Raw genomic sequence first — 23,571 nt, 5'->3', positions numbered from 1 at the left:
TCCCAAATCAAGGCCAGGACAAAGAATCTCTTTAAGCCAAGTATCAAGCATTAAGGAATCTGAGTCTTAACACCAACACAGGCTGTGGCTACAAGATTAATGGAAGCTGTGTGCTTGCTTTGCAAGAAAGAGGATGCTCACACACTTTACACAATACCTTTTAACTAGAGGGCCTATATTTATTTTTGAAAGCAAGTGTGTGTTTGTATATATTTCTGTCTATCATCTCCTCCTAATGACGTGGTGTTACCTCCAGGGCAGAACACGGCATCTATTTAGTGAAAGCCGTACAAGAATATTAATGTAAGACCAATGGGAAGAAGAAACTCCTTCTGGTCTTGTGAAACTTATGGGGAGGGGGAATTAAATCGAGCAGAATATGATCATTTATTATACTGGTTACAGTCAAATAAGCAACAGAATTAATAAGTATCATTTTGCTTCTTAATGCTACTCCCCTCTAAAGGTCACATTTCCCAAATCTTTTGGTTTTGGATTAGATGAGGTTCCTGGGGATCTTCATTATCCTCTAAGGACAAGCTTTACGGTCTCTGAAGGGGGCACCTGAGTTCTGTTTGGGAGGTCACACGTTGACAGTTGTTCTAACAGGTTGATGTGACACACACCAGCAATGCCTCCTGACATTATGTCTGTGTGCCTGCATTCTGAGCAAATCCTGGCCCAATGGCATGTGCCACTGGCGTGCCAAGGTGGGGGCCACTTTGGTGCTGGAGGAGGGGAGAGTGGCTCACTCTTCCTGAGAAGAATGACCCACTGTGTACACACACACGTGCATGCCCACACACATACACACACAAAACTCAGGCATCTGAACATGTTGCTAAACTTACCCAAGCACCAAGGATGAATTTTCTGGACTCCTCCTCCATATTTTAATTAATATCAAGACGCCTCTATTCTTGCCTAAACTAATTTGCCCCTGCCCTGTTCCTTTGGTCTCGCCTGTATTTTATCAATCTCTTTCTGGCCTTATCTTTCCCCACAAATAGCTTTACACTGTTCCCTGACTTCAAGCCAACCTCACTGCTACGATAAGCATTTTGGTTCTTGAATCCAACTGTCTTAGTTTCTTCACAGTATTTCCATCAGGGTCTTCAAGAAGGCTCATTTCTCAGTCTCAGAAAGGGAGGGAAAATCATGAAAAAGGTGGCCATTTTCAGGCAACCTTCCTGTGGCCAGAATTTCTTCTTTTTTGTATGAGGAAGATTTCTTTATAAGTATAGCACTTAGGATTTTTTTTTGTTTTTCCAGGTATTATTCTTTTTATATTGACAAATAAAATTTGTATATATTTATGGAATAAAACATGACATTCTGACATGTCATATATATGTGTGTGTGTATATATACATAAACATATATATATATATATATACACACACACACACACACACATTGTGGAGTGGCTAAATTGAGCTAATTAACATGGGCATTACCTCACATACTTGCCATTTTTGTGTGTGGTGAAAACACAATCTACTCTCTTAGCAATTTGCAAATACATGATACATTGTTATTGACTATATTCACCATGCTGTACAATTAGATAGCAATTGTTTTAACATAAGAACTCTTTGTTTACTACCATGGAATCCCAAAAGTAAAAGAGATTAAAGAAATGCAGCCATATATGGACCGGAGGTAGGGCAGCTACAGCCCCACCCCCTTGTTTTCCCTTCCCTACCCTCATAGGCATCCAGCCTTCTCTGCTATATAGTTCTCCCTGCTGTGTCCTTTCTAAGCTAATGAAGCATCCAAATTACCTTTACAAATTCAGACTCCTGAGTTCCTCCACACATCTACCAAATCAGCAAACACCTCCAAGGGTGAGGTGATAGTGGAGAAAACCATCCATTTTGCATTCCTCATTTTCCATTCATATTTAGTAGGCTCCCACATTGTTCCACAGATGATCAACCAGAGAACTCACTCAAGAAGATATTTTGGTAGAGCCAACCTTGGGTAAAGGTCTCAGGGCCTGGCCTCTTTCACCCAGGAACCATGAGAGACAGCAAACTCAGGTCCAAGTAGAAAATGTATAAAATCTCCATCCAGATGCCTAATTATTTGGGATAACGTGTGGCATCTCAGAGCCTATTCCAACAGACTTACAAAAGCAAGGTGGCTCTGCTCCTCAGAAGCAGCCTGATGCGGTGAAAGGACATTGTTTTTAAAGCCAGACAGCCTAGGAAAACTTTGCCATATTTGCTCAAACTTTAGGTCTCAGTTTCCCTATCTGTTTATTGGGGATATTAACATACTCAGTGAGCTGTTTGGGGGGTTAAATGAGAAATAGTACAAAGCATTAGGAGATTGCATGGCACTTGGTGGGCTCTCTGGAAATGCTTATTTACTCCCTCCACTAAGTGTAGAGCTTGAACTCCAATACTTCCACCTTAGCAGGGAATGAAGTTTCATATGAGTGGCCAGAGAACTAACCCTCCATGTTTCTAAGAAAAAGTAGAAGAGGCCAGGCACAGTGGTGCGGCATCCTGTTATCCCAGCACTTTGGGAGGCTGAGGTGGGTGGATCACCTGAGGTCAGAAGTTCAAGACCAGCCTGGCCAACATGGTGAAACCCCATCTCTACTAAAAATACAAAAATTAGCCAGGCATGGTGGTGGGCACCTGTAATCCCAGGTACTCGAGAGGCTGAGGCAGGAGAATCGCTTGAACCTGGGAGGTGGAGGTTGCAGCGAGCCAAGATCATGCCATTGTACTCCAGTCTGGGCAACAAGAGCGAAACTCCATCTCAAAAAAGAAAAAAAAAAAAAAGAAAACAAATGAAAAAAGAAAGGGAAAAAGTAAGAGAAGGAGGTGAAGCCGGAATGGCATAGAAAAAAAGAAACAGAATAGTGACTATTCATATTCGTTAAGTTTTCATCTTTTCCCAGTGACTAGACTAAGAATTTAATTTGCATTACTTCATTTAAGCCTTAGAAAAACTCCATCAGATAGGTACTATTCATTTTCTCACTTTATAGATGAGAAAACCGAGCCTCATGAGCCTGATAAGTTAACATGGCCAAGGTTGCACAGTAAATAAGACAAGTAGCTGGAGCTCAGACCAGACAGCGTCATTGCAAAACAAGATCTCTTAACCACAATCCCCTCCAGAAAAGAGAAGCTTAGCAGCTGGCTGAAATTTGAATTACAAGATCTTACATGGACATGGAAAGTCAAGCTCAGTTCTGGAATGCAATTGGAAATGTGAATGTTTCTCAGAAGAGCGAGATCGGAAAGTTGAAATGAAAAAACAAAAGTATAAAATATACAAGCAGGTTTGGATCTTACAGAACAATGTTTAGCCCCTGCCCTTCAGAGCCAAATATTTAAAAAGCTAAATGCTCAGAATAAGAATCGAGGGGAAATCCATTGGAAAAGTTGTGACTTGGTCTTGCCTGGGAAGTCATGAGGCTCTTGTGATACAAAGGTCACTCTGCCACCCACCAGGTTTAATAGCACTGAGCAAGCTTAACACCCCAGGGAGATCCTTAGGCATTTGGATCCAGAAATAGAGCAAAGAGTTGCTGTGATAACAAAGGCATTAAATATGAAGGTCAAGGGCAGTAGTGAAACCTAATTGGGGTGAGGTTCACTATCAGTTTCTCCATCCTCATTCTTAGTATGCAATTGAGAGTGTATCAAAGTAGTATAAAATCAACCAGACTGCTGCCCATAATGCCTTTCAGATAGAAAGCAGGAGATCCAGACCAGTGCCTTTCAGATAGAAAGCAGGAGATCCAGACCTGCTGATGCCCATGGAAAGAATGCATCTACAAACCCCCTGGAAGTGATATTGGAGAGTTGACAGCACATCCATTGCAACTATTCAAAAAGACTCATTTGTATAAATAAATTATCCATTCAGTTCATTCAAAACATATGCACCTGCACACTGGTGGAATGTCAGAAAAGAAGCCCTTGGAATTATTTCTGAATAATTTCATACTCAGGGGAAATTCAGATGAAATCTCCCAATATGTGTCATGGCATGTCTATGACTTTTGTCCCCTCTCTCTCCCCCACCCCTATTCTTAGCAATCACATGTGAGTCCAGGGTTTGGAATTAGTCAATCTGTCTTCCTGGACAAGGAAATTAGGCCAAAAAGTCCTATTTTGAGACTTAGTTTCTTTTATGACAAGGCCCTAGGAAAGTTTGATGAGAATTTTGATTTAAGTTTAGAGGTTAATAGCTCTGAAATTCTAAGAACCAAAAAGTATTATGTAGGTGGGTGTACAGTAAAACTGAAATAAGGAAGTCTTCTGCAAACTGAGCCAAAAATCTGCATAGTCAATGCATCTGAAAACTTTTCGTGTGAGGATAGCCCTGCTGTGAAACAGACCAACCACACTCGGCTCACTTCCTTACAGTGGAAACATGGAAGCTATTAAGCTTGGTTATGCTGGAAAGAATGGGGTAAGAAGAGCAAGGGGAAAGAGACATCTCTGACAAGGGGAGTGGGAGAGAAGAGCATGCCTGGCTTGCTGTGGACTTTGTCAATTAATGCCAAAAATACTTTAAAGTCTTCTTAAGGTTTATGATCCTCAAATTCATCAGTCTGTGGCTCTCCAGGAGTTGCCAGAACCACCAGGGCAGAAAACCTCAGGGAGTCCAACTTTAGATCTCACAATTGTCTATGGTTGTGGTGGGGGATGGTGCTGTTGGCAAACATCTGATTTTTGCAAATCCATTTTCTTTCCAGTTTGGCAGGTCACCTTAACTTGGAAGTTCAATGCCCAGCTGGGAATAATATGCTTATTAGGGGATGGGCCAATGGTCTGTGAACTTGAGCCTTGGCTGGGGGTAACATTCTTTGCACAACCAGGTAAAACAAGCCTGGAAAGCCACAGCATCATGCCAGTGCAGGCATCATTACCAGGCACCCAGACCCACTGGGGGTCACTGCACAGCCCACAGCCTTACTCAGAGTAGACCTGTTTACTCTTTGAACTGCAATCCCTCCCATTCCTCAGAGCTGTTGGCAGCAAGCATGGGGGAGAAGGCAGAGCTGCTGGGAAAGAGGGCAAAGTGAGACCAAGAAGAGAAAAGACAGAGAGAGAGAGAGAGAGAGCAGTTCTTGCATATTTCATCCGGATGACCATTGAGAGACTTTGAAATGCCCCCCAAACTTGCGTTGATAATATTTCTTACCATGTTAGTCACAATTGCGCCAATGTTTTATGCACATATCTTCCACTCAGTACTTCCTCACGTGTGTAGTCTTCCCAAAAAGCAACTGAATCATTTCTTCTTTCAAAAATCTTTGTCGGTTCCCCAGTTGCTGGAGCTGTGGTCCTCAGAGGGAAGTACACCTACCTCATGTGGTAGGCAAGATGATTCTAAGTTCAAATCGTAATTTTTATTTTAACAGCCATGTGTGTTTGATATGAAAACAAATGTAAAGTTAAAAAGTAAGTCACTTGAAGGAAAAGTGTTAAATAAGTAATATAGGTAGGTACACAGACATGGCAAATATGGTGACAATGGAATGAGGGGGATTGAAATTTGGAGAAAAAAATGGCTTAACGACAGGCAGTCCAAACTCCCTGAGGGCATGGCATTCTCCATCCTCCACCACCTGGTCTCCACCGACATGTCCAGTCCTCAGGCCCTTGGTCTCCAACTCTACCTCACAGGGTCCACCCCAGGTGCAGTGGGCCCATGTCACTTCTGCACAAGCATTCTGTGCTCCTCTGCTTCCTGATCCCAACACGTGGTATCCAAACCGTTTCCAATGCTATTTCTCCATTCAGTCTTCCCCAGATTGCCTTCATCAGAATCTAAATCTCCCTGGACCATTGGTTTGTACTTGGAATTATTCAATAGTCTACATTCCACCAATGTTTCTGGAGTTTCTGCCATATTCTGGGCACTGGGGCTTCAGCTATAGAAGTAAAAAAGAAAACAATTCCTGCCCTCATGGAATGGAGATTCAGATGAAGCAAGATGACAGCATGTTTCCTATTCTGCCATGTGGGGCTGGTTTGGGCACCATTTTTCCACACCCAGCCTGGCGAACCCTGGCAGACAGCGCTCTTCATCACGGTCAAATACCCGGAAAGTCCTGACGTGACTCCCTCCAAGGACGAGGGCATTCAAACCTGCTTGTTGAACTGAACAAGCAGGTTGAATTGAAAAGACATCTTTGCAGAAAGAAACAGTGCAGAGTTGCTTCTGCCATTCTCTCTGCGTCCTCCTCTTCTCTCTCTTATCCCTATCCCTTTTCCAGGCCCACCAACCAACCCTCCACGGAGAGGCCGCATATAGAGTAACCAACTCATCTTAGACTTTCCTGATTTTAGCACTGAATGCCCCACATCCTAGAAAACCCCATATTCCCAGGCAAACCAGGAAGGTTGGTCAATCTAGATGCACACACATAGATTTTGCTCCAATACTACTTTCTCCAACAGCTATGTGTCCTTGGGCAATTACCTACCATCTCTGAGCCCCTATTGTCTCATCTACAGATGGAAATAATACCATCCCCCAAGGCTGCTGTGAGGATTAAAGATATAATGTAAGTTTAGGGAGATCACCTTGCACCATGAATGGTTGCTGTGATTGATACTGTTGGTAGACTGAGAGCAGTGCAAAAAGAGAGCACTGTGCTGAATCAAAGAACCTCTGATCTGGTTAATGCCTGCTGAGCAGTCATCTCTCTTTTGGAGGCTGACATGCCAATGGTCTTGTGGCCACAATGGACATAGTTTGGCCAGGGTCTCTGAATGGCAGGAAACAAGCAACTTGCTGCCAAAGTGCTGTAAACAAAACCCTCAATCTACCCAGCTCTGCCTTATTATTTTTATTAAGCACTTACTATGTGCCAGATACTAAGATCTCATTTAATCCTCACAAAGGCCCCACAAAGTAGCATGATAATCCCTCATCTTAAGATGAGGACATTGAAGCTGAGAAACATTAAGTAACTTACCCAAGGACACACTGCTGGGAGGACAGATAGAAACCATGTCTGCCTGATCTCAGAGCCTCTACCCCTAAGCACCACCTACCTATCCACAAGAAACATCCTCTCCCTGTGCCCCAGCAGGAGCTGACAGCTTTGCTCCCTTCCACATAGAAGGAAACTGGCATTTTACTAGGCACTGGGCAATCTGATCAGTCTTGGAAGAAAGGGGAATTAGCGGGCGAGCCCTTGCTTGCTGGGAGATGGTTTACCCTGAAACCCTTCTGGGTTTCCCAGAACCCTGAGTAAATATTAACATAATCTCATTACATTGCTCATTATATTGCTTCAGATTGAGGATAAAACATAGAAGCAACCTGGGCCAATGTACCCTTGTGGTTTGAACGGATTGTTTTTCAGTCCAACAGTCTAATTTATGCAGACGGCATTATGGAGGAAAGGGTTCCTGACTTGGAAACAGACTGGGGTTTTCATCCCAAGTCTACCACTTACTAGCTATGCCACTTTGGACAACTTGAGGCTCAGTTCTCCCATCTGTAAAGTGGGTGTAAGTTTGTCCCAGCATCAGCATTAGCATCCGCATCACCACTCCTCATGGAGTGCTTCAGTTTGCTAGGCACTGTACTTGCATCTTTGCATCAATTCCTCTCAAAAGCTCTTGGATGCAGTTACCATTTTTATCTCTATTTTATAGTTGAGGAAATCAAGGCATAGACAAGTTAGGAAGGTTGGGCCAAGGTCATACCTCTAGATAAATGACAGAGCCAGGTCTGAAACCCACCTAAGAACCTTGCTGTTTATCCCTGTGTACTACTTGTATAACCTGTGCTGTAAAGCTTTCATTGAGATGACACGTATGTACGTGCCTGGCTCATAGGTCACCTATGATAGCATCCTCTGTTCCGTAATTCTCTGCCACTGCTCCTTACGCATGCCTGGAAAGAAGAGAGAGGGGATCACCCTCTCCATGGGCGCACCCACGCCTTCCCAAACTGCACTGCTCTCCAGGGTGACAGCTAATGATTCACCAGTTTGGATAAGCACAAGTGAGCCTGCTAGTGACTCAGGGACATGCAGGGACCTACGAAAGAGCCTCTACCTACAGAACAAAGCCAGACAGCAACTTGTGATGAAGATAATTACAGGCTGGAATGGCAACACCAAGGCCAAGGACTGTCTAGTTTATATGGTAATTAATCACAACCTCAAAGGCTTTGAGGAGGTCTGGAGGCTCCACTGGGGACCAACTAGGATTTTAAAAACAAAAACAAAAAACAAAAAAACTTCCCCCAGTCCCTACTACCACACTGCATAATCTCCTTGCCTTTCCTCCCAGCATACGCCCAGGCCCAAGTCCCCCAACACTGCCCCCAACTAGCCCAGTATTCTCAAAAAGGGTGATAGGAGGGCATAGGGTTGGGAATGTGGTAGAGCTGTCAAATATACACAAATCTACAATGTCAGTTCAAAAATGGAAGTCATGATCCTTCGCGTTGTCCTGCAACAGGATAAAAATAGCTCATCTTTCATCAAGACAGAAGAAAACCTACCACTATCGTATCTGGTAATCTATAACACCACCCTCTATCTCCAAGTTGAACCCTGCTGTGCTGAAATCGAAGCTATATGCAGCATTTTGGTTTAAAGTCAGATAGACCTAAGTTTGTATTCCAGATTTGCCACATGTGGCTGTGTGACCTTGACCTTGGCCAAGTAATTTGACTTCTCCGAGCTTCTGCTTCGTCTTTTTTTTTTTTAATGTGGATCCTGACAGTGCTAACTCTATAAGGTTAAGAGGATTAAATTACATAACACACATAAAAGGCTACTTTTGTCAGTCATTTCATGTATTATTCCTATAATTCTGAATCCTCTCTCCTCCTTCCCCGGCACATAGCCATCTACCTTACACAATTTCCATTCATCACCATCTCCCTAGTGCTCTTGGCTTGATCCTCTGTCCCTGCTTATGAAAATTTTTAAATGGGCCAGTTGAATTGGTGACCAACTCCAATCTCAGTTTCCTAATTCTTTGGTCATCCCACTCATGCCAGCAGTGGGGCCTGTCTTCTTAGTGATCCAGTTCCAGAACTTTCCATTGGCCCCTTGTTTTATGTTGCAGAGGCTGGAGAGGCCCCTTTCGCCCTCCCCACCCAGGCCATCCCTTTCTGAGTGCTCACTGTCTCACCTGTACACAGCACCAGAGGTCATGGGATACTTCCATGGAAACGCTATTTGGTTGCCTGGTGTTTTGCATTTTGTAACACCAAAGGCCTGATAGAACCAGGATGTGGGACCAGCCACAGCTCGACAATGACAAAGACACACTTTTTAAAACTAACACCTCGACCTCTTCATACCTTCCTCCTCTCTCTGACTATCCTCCTTCCAAACACAACCGAGATCTGTGTGTCAGAACTTTCAATAACAACAATAATAATAATTTCTTGTGTCAGGCGCAAAACTCTCTGCTTAAAGTACGTTTCTCCATTGCTGCTAGATTTTATGTTTGGAAATGTGAATATTCCATTGAACCCTCACAGCCAGTTTCCCAAATACCCTAGGGCTGGTTCTTACCATTTTATTGGATAACCATGTCTCGGATGGCCCTACCTACTGGTGTTATATAAGAACAGGCTTGTCAGACAGAGGAGCAGTGTGATGAAGCAGGCAGTGGCCACATGACCATTTGAGGGAGGAGGAGCGTTTCATGGTTTTAAAAGCCTCAGCAAGGCTGGGCGCAGTGGTTCATGCCTGTAATCCCAGCACTTTGAGAGGCCAAGGCGGGCAGATCACCTGAGGTTGGGAGTTCGAGACCAGCCTAACCAACATGGAGAAACCCCATCTGTACTAAAAATACAAAATTAGCTGGGCATGGTGGCACATGCCTATAATCCCAGCTACTTGGAAGGCTGAGGCAGGAGAATCCCTTGAACCTGGGAGACGGAGGTTGCAGTGAGCCAAGATCATGCCATTGCACTGCAGCCTGGGCTACAAGAGTGAAACTTGGTCTCAAAAAAAAAAAAAAAAAAAAAACCTCAGCAGTCCAGACATGGTGGCTCACGCCTGTAATTCCAGCACTTTGGGAGGCCAAGGCAGTCAAATCACTTGAGGCCAGGAGTTCGAGACCAGCCTGGCCAACATGGCAAAACCCCATCTCTACCAAAAATACAAAAATTAGCCAGGTTTGGTGGCACGCACCTGTAGTCCCAGCTACTCCAGAGGCTGAGACATGACAGTCACTTGAACCTGGGAGGCAGAGGTTGAAGTGAGCAGAGATCACGCCACTGCACTCCAGCCTGGGCAACAGAGCAAGACCTTGTCTCATGAAAAAGCTTCAGCAGAGGTGGTAATGCCTGTGGTTGGTCCAGGCATGGAAGGCAGGCACTCTGTTTGTGGGAGGGTGTATTTGTACACTCTTTATGAAGAGCAATTTGGTAGTACCTACCAAAATTTAAAATGCTGGTATCCTTTGAGTCAGCAACCCTATTTCTAGGAATTTCTCTCATAGATATATGTACAAAAGACCAGAAAAAATATATGATGAAAAATTGCAACTAACTTTAATGTTTACCAAAAGGAAAATGCTAAATAAACTATAGTTCACCTAGACCATGAAGTAATATTAAAAAGACAGATCTATATGCCATGATGCTGAAAGATTTCCATGTAATGTGAATAAACAAGCTAAAAAACAAAGTTTATAATATGATTATATTTTTTGTTTGAATATATATTTTATATGTGTCTGGGCAGATATACAACAAAAAATTAATAGTTGCTGCTAGGGGTGAGATTGGGGGCAAGGTTCATCCTTTTTTAAATTTTATGACAGATATATTTGTTCATATTTATATCTATATTTATATAGATACATATTTGTATCTCATATGATAAAAATATTTCAAAGAATGGATTTCTCAGTTCCTCTCCTTCCATCCCTCTGGTAGACTGTTCCAGCAAAGCAGTTCCTAATAATCCCAAATAAACACTTATTCAGAGCTTTGCAGTTTACAAAGCAATTTTGAAAAAAAAAAAAAAACTTGTTCAAATATCACACCATCACCATGATTCCCATTTTACAGATGAGGAAACAGAGGCTCAGTGAGGAAAAGTGCTTCTGCCCATGTCAAATGCCTGGTGGCTGCAAGAGCCAGGACTGGAAGCTCAGGTCGTCCATATCTAGCACCAGGGAGCTTTTCCAGCCCTCTCCAACTGATACCTGCTATACCTCTTCCATGGCCAAAGTCAGATAGATCTTCTCTGGCACAGGTGAAAACGAGACCTGGACATGGCTTAGAAATTTGAGGGTGGAAGGGAGAAGAGCAGAGAGAGAAGGGGAGGTGCAGGGCATGGTGTAGAAGAAAGGTTAAAAAGTGGCTTGGCATTCTGTTCTACAATTAAATGCATAGGCCACCAGCAAACCAGGTAAGCAAGATCCTAACCGGGGCCTCCTTCCTATGCCTGCTCTGTTGTTTGAGGATGAGTCATTTGTCACCATCTTGCTGTGAGCTGCATGTGAGCTGAGCCTAAACACCAGTTTGGTGCTGCCCAAGACCACTATAGGGAGCTGTCCCCAGAGCCACAGTTTGGAGAAGAGGAGATCCCAGAGGCCTTCCTGGCCTTTCTATAATGTGCATCTCCTTGTTCAACACCCTTTGATGGCTCCCATGCCCTTTGGAGTAAAGTCCAGCGTCCATGATACTATTCACAAGGCCCTCTGTGACCTGGCACCTACCTATTTCTGCAGCCTCATCTCCAGCTGTCTCTCACCTGATTTTTACATACTGGCTCCTTTCATTTCCCCAAACAGGCAGGCCATTCTCCCATTCTCTTTCTCTCTGCTTCCTCCCCACATTATTGCATAGACTGCCCCACATGCCTAGGTACATTTACTCCTTGTCTTCCCTGGCTAACTGCTGCTCATCCTTAGACCCCAGCCCAAACACAGCTTCCCTGGGGGGGCCTTTCCTGATGAGCTCACCCCGCCACCATTCAGTCCCCACCTGAGTTGTTGCCTCTCTGCTCCAGAGTCTTCACCTCTCCAGCACATACCACACTGTGTGGTAACATCTCATGTACTTCCTCTCTCTTGAGCTGGACTATCACAGCAGCAGGGGCATTTTAGGAATCCACAAATATGTATTGAACGAATGGAGAATGACATGGTGTGGATGTCACCCCACAGCAGATGACAGGTATCAGACTTCAGCAATGGAACTTAGCCCCACCGGCTTGGCGGGTGTCACGTAAATCCCACTGCCTTGGTCCACATGGCCAGTTTCTCTCTGTCAATGCCTAGGAAATCGTAAGTCTTGAATGACAGGCATGTTGAAAAGGGCAGTGACCAATGGAAGATTGATTCATAGTGAGAAATTTCTGGCAGGTTCTAACCACAACTCCCTAGGGATAAAAACAGAACAACCTCAGGTTTACAAGGTGGTAATAGAACCAAAGGGCTGAGACCAGTGTCAAGAGGTCATTGAATTCATTCCCCTGCCTTCAGGCAAGGCTGGCTCAGTCACAGACCAGTGGGTGTTTCCTTATATTATTAGCAGGAGTAATTATTATTATTATTATTATTTTCATTAATAGCAGTATACCAAGGTTTTTATTAAAAATAAGCACTCACAGGGAACATGGTGGGTGCCTGCCTGCATCACCCTTCCCAATACTCGTAGAACACAGAATCTGGTCTCAACAATGTAAGGTCTGACTCCACCTCCCTCATGTCAGCATGATTGCTCAGTGGGAGAATTGAAGCAAGCAGGTTCTCATTTAGAAGACAGCAAAGAAAATGTTCCAGAATCAGGCTTTGGGCACTCTCTCTCACAACAGCCCAAAGCATATGAAAAGTCATGGGGCCACCATCAGGCATCCCCTTTGCAATTTATAATCGGCCCAGCCGTTTCCCTGTGCAGAGGGCACGCAGTTCAGAGTCCTGCCCATCCATGACCTCATCTGATCCTCACAGCAACACGTGCACCCAAGGAATGGGAATAAGTTGAAGGTGGGACAGGCTGTAGGTTGGGTCACCAGAGTTCTCAAAACTAAGTGGGTGAGTGGGCTTGAGTACAGAACGAAGGCATTCGATCACCAGTCGGACCCTCTGACTTTATATTCCGCTTCTCAGTCTAAAAAGAGTCCACGTAGTCAATAAATATGTGAACACCTACTATATTCCAAGTACTGTTCCAGAGTCTAGGAATAAAGCAATGAACAGATTTTTAAAAGACAAAACAAAACCAAAAACTCTGCCCTTGTGGAGTTTACATTCTGGTGCTGCGGTATTTATAAGCCACTTTCAGTAACATGGTTTTAGATAATAGGTGAACCTGGAATTAATCAATATTGAATCACATCATGAGAAATGTGTGCCCTTTCCAATTCTCTTAATTCAATCCTTCACAGACTTTAGAGGAGGTCTCAGTTGGCTGATATCACCCTTCAGTGAAAGGAGCATAGGCTGCAGGATCCAATGAGAAGTTAATTCCAGCCTTGGGTTTCATCCTATTTATTAACAGTTACCTTCTAGGTGTAGCCAGGGTTGCTAATTTTCCATTAAAGGTAGTGATATTATTGCCTTGTAAATAAATGCACATTCTTTAATAAGTGAGTCATTAAAAAAAAAGACCTAAGAGTCTAATAGGACAAGTGGTAAATGAATATAGCAAAACACTGGATGTTTAGAAGGCTTGAACTAGGTGGGGCCCTCAGCCTAGAAATAGCCAAGGGCACTTCTGCTTCTAAAGACCCAGAAAAACTAAGGTTGCCTCACTTTTAGAGTGGGATAATCTAAAGGTTCACTGCTTCTTTTCTTTGAGACAGAGTCTCTCTCTGTTGCCCCAGCCGGAGTGCAGTGGTGTGATCTCCGCTCACTTGCAGCCTCTGCCTCCTGGGTTTGAGAAATTCTCATGCCTCACCCTCCCGAGTAGCTGGGATTGCAGTGCACCGCCACACCCAGCTAATTTTTACATTTTTTTTAGTAGAGACAGGGTTTCGTCATGTTGGCCACGCTAAACTCGAATTCCCAATCTCAGGTGATCCACCTGCCTTGGCCTCCTAAAGCGCTGGGATTACAGGTGTGAACCACTGCGCCCAGCCACACTGCCTGATATTTTAATTAATCCCACCCCTGTCACCTTCATCTCTCCACCCACTCTCCAGCAGCCACTGCACTCAGTGCACACCATCTCCAGGAGGGACACCACGAGGGCTAAGCCTGGAGCCTGACAGCAAACACCCTACCCTTCCTCCTAGCCGCCAAGGATTTCTCTCTCTTATCTCAATCCCCACACTTTCCCCGAAGGCAAAGGTCACTGCAGGAAGCTCCCCAAAGTTAATTAGCCCTCATTCTCGGAAGCCAACAGCCTCCTACTCTAAATAAGGAAGAGCCGTCCAGTCCCTTTGAACCCGCGTTCTCCTTAGGTAAATGGGTTCTGCACAAGCTCATTATCAGAATCACCTGGGAGCTTTACCAAACTACAGGTGCCTCGCTGCCTACGACCAATTTGCTGAATCAGTCATTTCAAGATGGTGCCCGGAAAGCTGTATTTTGTGCCCCTTTGGAGAGTCCAATGTTCAGCCAGATTTAGAAGCTGATATGCTTCATTGGAAACAACTTCTCCATAGGCTCTTTATTTGGCCAAGTAACAACCACAATTATCTTATCAAGGCAGGAAGTGTCGTTTAGTACACAGGCTTTGGAGTTGAGCAAACCTGGATTCAAATCCTGGGCCCACCACAAGGAAGTGACCGAGTGGCCTCAGGTTAGCTGCTTAACAACCCTGTGCCTCAGTTGCCCCAGCTATAAAATGGGGGTATCAATGGCACCCACTCATCATCAGGTTGTTTGAAGGATTCCATAATCTAATGTGAGCAAAATGCTCTATGCACTGGCTTGGAGTAAAAGCGAAAAAAATACCAGCCATAGTTAATGTGGATTGGTTTTATCTTGGTAACCAAAGGAGACTCAAAGTGGTTTGCAGGGAAGACAAGAGGAGAAGGGGACAGAGAAAAGTGAGAGGGAAGGCAAGCTGAAATAATTTTTGATGTTCAGATCTTATTTGCCCCTTTCCCTTTAACAAGTGAGGCTCTAAGGCCAGAGGCCAGGATTCTAGGTCATTCCTCACCCCTTTCCCCACCTTGTGATCTAGAGATCCCACACTGGATAGGTGGCCAAAGTTGCTGAGTGACACACAGATGTGGGGCAGACATTCGCCAAGAGAAATCATCTGAGTGGACCATTGAGAAGGGCAAGCGAGGACCCCTGTGTAATGTTAGTATTAAGGGAGCTTGGGAAGGCCCTACTCTTCCCTGACACACAGCAGATAATCCCGTCTCCCCTCCACTAGCATACTTCTTTTCTTCATTTGGAAATGGAGGGCTCTTTCCTTGTGGTGGATGATCGGTTCACTCACTCATTTACTGGTTCCCTCATTCAGCAGATCCCCACTGATTGCCTGCTGGGCACCTCATCCTGTTCACATAGAATATGCTGCTGGGGCCGGACATCTCTGGCTTGCCTCCCGGTTTTACCGATTAGGAACCTGGGACCCAAGAAGGTGAAATGACTCAGCCACAGTCTCGCAGCCGGCAGGTGGTAGCACTGGATTTAGATCCAAGTGTCCTGACTTGCACTCCACACACTGCCTGCATGAAGGGCATGGCCAAGTTCTATAAGGAAATTTGTCTCTTCACCTCCATCATTCACCTGGCACAATGTCTGGAGCTCGCTAATTGTTGGCAGGTGGAATGAATAGTTTGAAAGCTAAATCTGAGAATGATTGTGAAACTAACACAAGAACAGAAAACCAAACACCGCATTCTCACTCATAAGTGGGAGTTGAACAATGAGAACACATGGACACAGGGAGGGGAATATCACACACCGGGGCCTGTTGATGGGTGCAGCAAGCCACCATGGCACATATATACCTATGTAACAAACCTGCATGTTCTGCGCATGTACCCCAGAACTCAAAGTATAATAAAAAAAAAAAAAAAGAAAATTAAATCTGTACTGAGCACAGAGCCATATAATGTGAAAAGGGCAGTGTTTCTCTAACTGTAATGTGTACACCAATCACCTGAGATCTTGTTAAAATCATGGTGCTAATTTGGGGAGTTTGGGGTCAGCTGGGGATTCTATAGTCCTAGCAAGCTTCCAGGTGTGGCTGACATTGCCAGTACCAGACCAGAACCTGAACAATGGACAGCACACTTTGAAGCCAGAGCGCCCAGATTCGAAGTCCAAATTTGCTACTTATCGGCCGTGCAGCCTTGAGCCAGTTATTTAAACTGACTGTGCCTTGGTTTTCTTGCCTGTAAAAAGAAGGGTGGTGATGATAATGGAGTACCTGCTTTACAGGGCCATTGGGAGATTCAAGTCAGGTAATAAGTGTTAAGCACTTTGTCTAGTGTCACTTGCGCATACAAGGCACTCAGAGGGCAGAAGGTGGAAGGAGAGCCTTCCTTGAAGTAAGGCAGCCTTCTTGCTTTCTGCCCCAGACCCCACCCCAGAAAAGTCAACGTATTCTTCTCCGGGATACAGCTAGTCTTGATCCAAACCATCAGACCACCCTTGAACAGCTCCTGAAAACAAAAAGGATGAGCTCACTCTAGCCAAAATAATCATCAGATCAGCCCAGAATGTGACCCCAGCCCCAGCTGTTGCACAGCTACGTGAGCCCAGCAGATGAAAATGTTCCAGCAGGCAGATGTGGCAGGGTGCTGCTTTACAGAGTTGAAGTTCCAGCTGGCAGTCGTTTAGATTTGTTTCCCCTAAAAGCCTCTTTCCTTGAGCACACTGACAGCAGAGACCCTGTCTGATTTATCTTGGATCTCTGCACCCTGCACAGAGCTGGCATAGTAAATGGGCCAAGCTGAATTCCAGGCCCAGACCTTAGAGATAAGGGAAGGGCTCCTTGAAAACTGCTCCTGTTTGTCTTCAGGGCTGAGGCATGGCTGAAGGAAAGGGCCCTAGGAGGAAAGGGGCAGCGGCTGCCACTGGACCTCAGCCTGGGATACTGCAGCCCCTTAGAGACTGTATGTCAGCTCTCTCCAGTGAACAAACTCAGTTTGATCGCCAGTTTCTCTGCGCGGGCCAGGTTCTGGCGTGTGCAGGCAGGGAAGCACTAACCTCTGGGTTGGGCATTTTCTCAATTGTTTCATTCTCTCTCTCTTATCTCCAGCTAGTTAGTGATTAACTGCTCTTTGAAAGTTTCCCAGCCTCCCCCGAGCTCCCCAAGAGCACAGGTGGCCACTGGGTTGGAGCAGAAGAACCTGACTGAGGGCCCAGTTCTCTTTGCAGGACAGGGAGGACCCAGAGGCACAGCCACTGGGTCATGGGCCCAGTGGGGTAAGGCCAAGAGGTTTGGCGCTGTGCTGCCTGCCAGGGGTTACTGGGAGGGCATCAGAGAGGCATGTCTGCAGGCGCCGGTTCCTTGGAAGTCTGTGGGTGAGTGGGTGGGGGTGGAGAGGGACAGAGGATACAACCAGGATCTGGGAGAGAGAGAGAAGCTTGACATTATCTCCCCACCACCAGGGGCTTTCTGTACAAACCCTCACCCGGGGCAGCTTTCATCAGATAACACCTACACTTACAGACAGCCCCCATACGTTGGAGCAACCACCTCCCACAGCTTTTTCTAGTAAGCCCCACCCCAGCTGAACCACAAAGGAGACCAGGTAGAAGAAGCAGCTGACTTGGTCAAGGAAGCACCATCCAGAACCTTCCAGGAGTCGCTGAACCCTTTCCTTTCAGAGTGTGGGCCTCTCCTTCATCTTTTCCTTTCTTTAACCCTGGGATTTTTTATTAGAGGTTTATAATTCCACAGAGGGACTTTCAGGGAGACCTGTAAACCTCTAAAAAATACAAACAATATGCAATATATGTTTTGGCTGAGTGTAGAAGCCCATCCTAGAAAAATGTACTTAGATATGTATTGGATTTTCAGCCCCTGCCCGCCTTCCTGTCTTGCTGCCTCTTCTGTGGGTTGCTCCCTCTCCTTCCTGGAAGCCCCTCTCTCTTCTGCCTGCCCTGTCACTGACCTAGGCTCTTGGCTGGCTCAGGGGAGAAGCAAATAAAAGAATGATAGTGGTCGGGGTTGGACAAGTGACAGTGGAAAGGAGGGATCATATTTGGAAACTGCTCTCCCCCTGTGGTCGCTTCAAGACAGGAGCAGGAAAAACCCGGGCAGGAGGCTTGATTAGAAACTAACCCCAGATGAACTCTCTGTCTGGTATTTCCGGTAGGGGGTAATGACACTTGCTTTTGTGGCTGGTTTGTGAAAAAGAATGGGTCTCCTCATAAAGGAGAAGAAAGAGATAATCTTATGAGTACTAGCCCTGGGAATTCAAAGACAGATGATGGGGAGGTGGGGCAGGAAGAGATTAATTTCAGAAGAATTATGACTATGGCTTCTCGACCTCTTGGCTAAGATCGAGTGCAGAAGAAGTATGACTGATGCATTAGTAAAGGCAACCAGAAGAGGACTGGGCAGCGTGCTCTGTTTGTTTTTGATGGCACCATATTGGCTAAAGGCTTTCTATCCTTTTGTGCCTTCGCCAGGTTTGTTAGAATGGCTTCCAGCGGCAACTACCAATAACTCCTAGGGGACCACCTCAAGACTGAAGGTGAGGCAAAGACTGTGGACTATGAAGCACCTCTTTGTAGCCCAAGTTGCAAGAGGAGCCTAGCAAAGGAAATCAGATGGCAGCAACGCAGAAGAAGCACATGGACGAATCCTCAGAACCCATAGTAGAAGAAACATTTGGGTTGGGTGGATTACCCTGACTTTCAGATATGATCTTCCCCTTCCAGAGGTTGAACAGGACCTTTCTAAAAATTTCCCATCTGCAACTTCAGTTGGCAAAGTGCCTTTGTTTCTTCCAGGGCTGAGTGGCCATTTTTACACCAGTAAAATTCAGAAAAAACAGATGTTTATACAACTGATTTCTTTTTCATTCAAGTGAAAATTACTTTATGTAGGTGAATCCCAGAGTGAAAGAAATACATATTCTTACAACTCAAATTCACTGCTAAAAAAAAGAAAGCACAGAAGGAAGTCAATAAAAAATGAGCATCATTAAACACATAAAAAGATGCTCAATCGGCCAGGTGCAGTGGCTCGTGCCTGTAATCCCAGCACTTTGGGAGCCGAGGCAGGCAGATCACTTGAGGTCAGGAGTTTGAGACCAGCCTGACCAACATGGTGAAACCCTGTCTTTACTAAAAATACAAAACTTAGCCAGGCATGGTGGTGCATGCCTGTAATCCCATCTACTTGGGAGGCTGAAGCAGGAGAATCACTTGAACCCGGGAGGCGGAGGTTGCAGTGAGCCAAGATAGCACCATTGCACTCCAGCCTGGGCAACAAGAGCAAAACTCCATCTCAAAAAAAAAAAAAAAAAAAAAAAAAAATGACACTCAACCTCACTGATCATCAGAAACACTAACACATGAGAAGCCACTGCATTTCCTTCAAATTGGCAAAATTAAAAAATCTGATGATAATAATTGTTGGCCAGGATGTGATGAGGAAGGAATTCCAACCCACTGCTTGTTCAGGAGTGTTGATTGTTATAAATACTTTGGAGAGTGATTTGTTAATATCTAGAAAAGAGGAAGATGCACGTGCCCATAATCCAGCAAATATAAGCCCATGGAAACTTTACTGCATGCTCACATGTACAAGGATATTCAATGCATCACTACTTGTCAAATGAACATTTGGAAGCAAAGTAAGTGCACCTCAGTAGGAGAATGGATACACACATTGTGCCAGCCATCACCATTTGTTATTTCATTTATTCTTTTATTCATTTTTCATTAAATATATTTCCATGAGTTTGTATTATTATACTATGTAGAGAATCACCTGGGAAGATTGTGAAAAGGGCCGAATTCCTGGTCCTACCCTCAGAGAGATTGAGTCTGGGAATGAGTCCAAGAAATGGGGCTCTTTTCTAAGTGCATGTGATACAACTGCATGTGGTCCTGGGTCACACCATATATAACCATTCATTCTGCCATTGGATTTCAAGTTGGATTACAAAACTTGCAGGGCTATGTGTGGCCCCTGTACTCATCCCTTACTGGGAAGGAGGCCTGGATTGCTGGAACATGGGAGCCTGAGAAACTTCTGGATCCTCAAGCATCAGGCCCAGAGGAAGACAGCAGAAGAGGAGATAAGGGGGTACAGTGAAGGGGAAAGGATAGGGAATGGGTCTGAGGGCAAAGAGGCCTAGAACAGCACATCTTCTGATCTTTTGCCCAGACACAAGTCTACCCACAGATCTTTGTTAACAAAATTTGTCTTGGAACTAAGAAAGCTACCCTCCTCTCTCCTGTCCCTCAGTAACACTTAATGATTCAACTCAACAGTTTTTTGTTTTTTTTTTAAGTCCCAAAGGCTAAGGTTCTAGATCTGGGTCACTTCCCACACATGACCAAGATTCGTGAGAAAAGAGATGACATTGAATCAAGCTTTTATCTGAACCTTTGGTCTATTTTTCCTTGTCCACAGAAGTAGGGAAGTAAGTATTCATAGGGAATTTAGCCAACCTTTGTCCAAACAGTTTAACACCAGTCACATAATTAATCAGATAGTCTGGCTTTTATAGCTATATCTAATATGCATGTATTAATTTTTTTCAAGGCCTTAGAATCTTTTATCTATATTCAATTGAGAAATGGTCTCTAAGCGTAACTTAATGTTTGTTTGATGAAGATGCTTTGGGAGTACACAGGAACCATGAAGAAATTTAAGGAACTGGAAGTCCCAGTTAATAGAGAGTCCTGGTTAATGCAGTGCTGATAAACAGAGAGTTGCTGTATATAGAGGTGGTGCTGTGGGCTTGTTTGGAAAACTGTTCACTTACTGGGCAGCTTACTTACCCTCACTTACTTAACCTGAAGGGAGAGAATCATAGAAGTGAGAAATGGAAGGAAAAATTAAGCCATCCTCTGTTTGACCCTCTTGTTGTATGCAAGGAGACTCTGTTCTGTAGAGGAGAAATGCTCCCCTGAGTTCAGCCAGTGAGGTGCCTGCAAGGACTGGAGAAAGAAAATGAGAAGCCAGGGTATTTCTCTGCTCCCTCTCTGCCCTGAGCATGCCTCCAGCAGCTACTACATTTCCTCCATGGCCCCAGCGCCCTCCAGACAAGCCCATCAGGGATTCCGGGAACACTATCTCCTCCCTTTCTCTTTTCAGCCTATGAATACTAGTGACTTTCTGCTCTTATTAACCTTTGAGCTATCTCTTTATCCCCTCTTTGGCATTGCAGCTTTTCTAACACTGGTGTGACCCATTCCCTGCATTAAATTCCCTCTGTTGAAGACACTTAGGTTTCTTCCTGATTAGACTCCAACTGATAGAGGAGGTGACTGGTCTTTACTTTCCAGACCATATTCATTTTACAGAAGAAAGAACAGATTTCTAGAAGTTCAAGTAACATGCCAATGTTGCACAGCTACCGAGCTAGCAACCAGTTGTCTCGTGGCCGGTGTTAATTTTCCTACAGTATTCTGGCTCTTCTCTCTCTCCCGTAGTCCCTACCAGCAAAGACATTCTTTCTGGGTCAAACTAAGGATTCATTTGCGTCTCATTTGCACATGATGAAAAGGTGCTATAACTACGCAAAGTGCACATCCAAAGGAGTTCAAGGGAGTATTCATTTCTATTTTGGTCTTTATAAGAATATTTTGCATTTGAGTCAACAAAGCTTTGTCAGCATTCTGTAAATCCTAGGGCAGCATTTCTCAAAGTCACAATTCCCTAAAGGGCATGAGGGTGCACATCTTAGTCCATTTACGCTGCCACAAAAGAATGTCATAGACTAGGCTACAAGCAACGGAAATTTATTATTCAGAATTCTAGAGGCTGGGAAGTCCAAGAGCAAGGCACCAGCAGATTCAGCGTCTGGTGAGGGCCCACTTCCTAGTTCATAGATGCCATCTTCTCACCGTGACCTCACATGGCAGAAGGGACAAGGGGGCATTCTGGGGTCTCTTTTATTAGGTCAGTAATCACATTTATGAGGGCTTCATCGTTATCACCTAATCACCTCCCAAAGCCACCTGGTATCATCACAGTGGAGGTTTAAATGTCAACATATGAATGAGGGGGGAACACAAAAATTAATTCTATAGTAGGGGATACTTTGGTAAAAACACAGATTTCCTGAACCCACTACCACCTACTGAAATAGAAAAATCTGGGGATGGGAACTGAGTGTATTTTTAGCTAGCAACACAGATAACTAGTATTAATAACTAGCAACCTGGATAACTAGTATTAATAACTAGCAACCTGGATAATTCTTATGAAAACAAGTTTTGAGGGCCACTGTTCCATTATGTAGAAAAACATTGTCCGTGTACACACAGAAGAAGGAAGGATCAGGAAGGTGACTAGAGAGCTGGCTTCTGGCCAGTCAAATAAAGGTCCAGCTCCTCTGGCTTCCATCCCCAGTCAGAGGTACCACTTACTAACACCCTGCTACGTGTCAGGCTTAGCACTATACATTGCAGGTACCTGGTTTTATGTACTCTTTACAGCAATCCTGTGAAGTGGCTACTATAATTTCCATTTAACAGACAAGATATCTGATTCTCAGATTAAATAACTGTCTCTGGATCACCCAGCAATGAGCCAAATTCCAACCAAGTTCTGCTTGACTCCAATGTCAGACTCTTCTCTATTCAGGTTGCCCCTTCCAGAACGGAGCCTGCTTCATCCCCAGATGATCAATGCAAACAATGATACGCTGAGTTGGCTCTGTGTGGTGTGTCCTAATCCTGTGCTCTGGGCAATCTGGTGTTTCCTTTCTGCTTGTTCTTGAACGAGACATTGGTGTATCTGCAAAGGGGACAGGTGAATGGTATTCCAATTCCCCCTCCTGAGACAGCCCCTGATGGGATGAGATCCTGCAAATGGAGCTGCCGGTGGTTTCTTGATTGTCCTTCCTAGTTTTCCCAGGAGCTCTTGGGAGCTCTTCTGCCCCTGCACTTGGCTCAGAAGCTTCCGGTTTTGCCCCAAACCAGTGGGAACCAATCAGAAAGCCTGAAGCGGCAGATGTCTGCACTAATCCATACAGGGAGGACCTGAGGGAAGCAACTAAGTTTTTGTTCTTATCACAAATGTTTAAAAAATCAACAACATGAACGGGCAAGTGTGCCACCACACAGTGCTTGACATCTGGATGATCTTGCATCATCTGAGCTGCCTTTTCTTTCTTTCTGACACATTGCTTTACGTGCCTGATCACCATTCTTTTGTTGACATTGCTGTTTGGATCAGCCAGCTGATGACACAGCCAGATAGAAACTGGCTGAGGCAGGGGTAGGGGTAGGGGATTCTCTGATCAAGCTGATCATTCAAAGGGTTGCAGAGAGGGCCACTGGCCTATTAAAAAAAAAAGTCCTACACTCCCCACATCTTTAGTGTTTTTCTTTTATGCTTCCCAACAGTTTGGGATCCCAACCTGCATGTTCATGTCTCAGTAGGCATTTGCCATGTATGTGAGGCTGCCTGGCTAGCTTTAGACAGCACAGGTTGAGTTCAAATCTCAGGTCAATCACTCACTAATTCTGTCTTCATACGTATGCTAAATAA

General features: G+C 44.7%; 3 annotated features.

Moving 5' to 3' along the window:
* Positions 14,087–14,381: an enhancer, noted in NCBI's record as "tiled region #12213; K562 Activating DNase matched - State 5:Enh". NCBI's record gives its function as "activates a minimal TATA promoter and a strong SV40 promoter by Sharpr-MPRA in K562 cells {active_cell/tissue: K562}" and the evidence as "EXISTENCE:reporter gene assay evidence [ECO:0000049][PMID:27701403]".
* Positions 17,675–18,874: an enhancer, noted in NCBI's record as "P300/CBP strongly-dependent group 1 enhancer chr11:34620676-34621875 (GRCh37/hg19 assembly coordinates)". NCBI's record gives its function as "activates an origin of replication core promoter dependent on BRD2, BRD4, P300/CBP, MED14 and CDK7 cofactors, with strong dependence on P300/CBP, by STARR-seq in HCT116 cells {active_cell/tissue: HCT116}" and the evidence as "EXISTENCE:reporter gene assay evidence [ECO:0000049][PMID:35650434]".
* Positions 23,027–23,321: an enhancer, noted in NCBI's record as "tiled region #2953; HepG2 Activating DNase matched - State 8:EnhW". NCBI's record gives its function as "activates a minimal TATA promoter and a strong SV40 promoter by Sharpr-MPRA in HepG2 cells {active_cell/tissue: HepG2}" and the evidence as "EXISTENCE:reporter gene assay evidence [ECO:0000049][PMID:27701403]".

This window comes from Homo sapiens, chromosome 11 (genome assembly GCF_000001405.40).
Source record: "Homo sapiens chromosome 11, GRCh38.p14 Primary Assembly".
Taxonomy (NCBI): domain Eukaryota; kingdom Metazoa; phylum Chordata; class Mammalia; order Primates; family Hominidae; genus Homo; species Homo sapiens.
The sequence above is the reverse complement of the archived record's forward strand: the minus strand, read 5'-3'. Positions and strand labels throughout refer to the sequence as shown.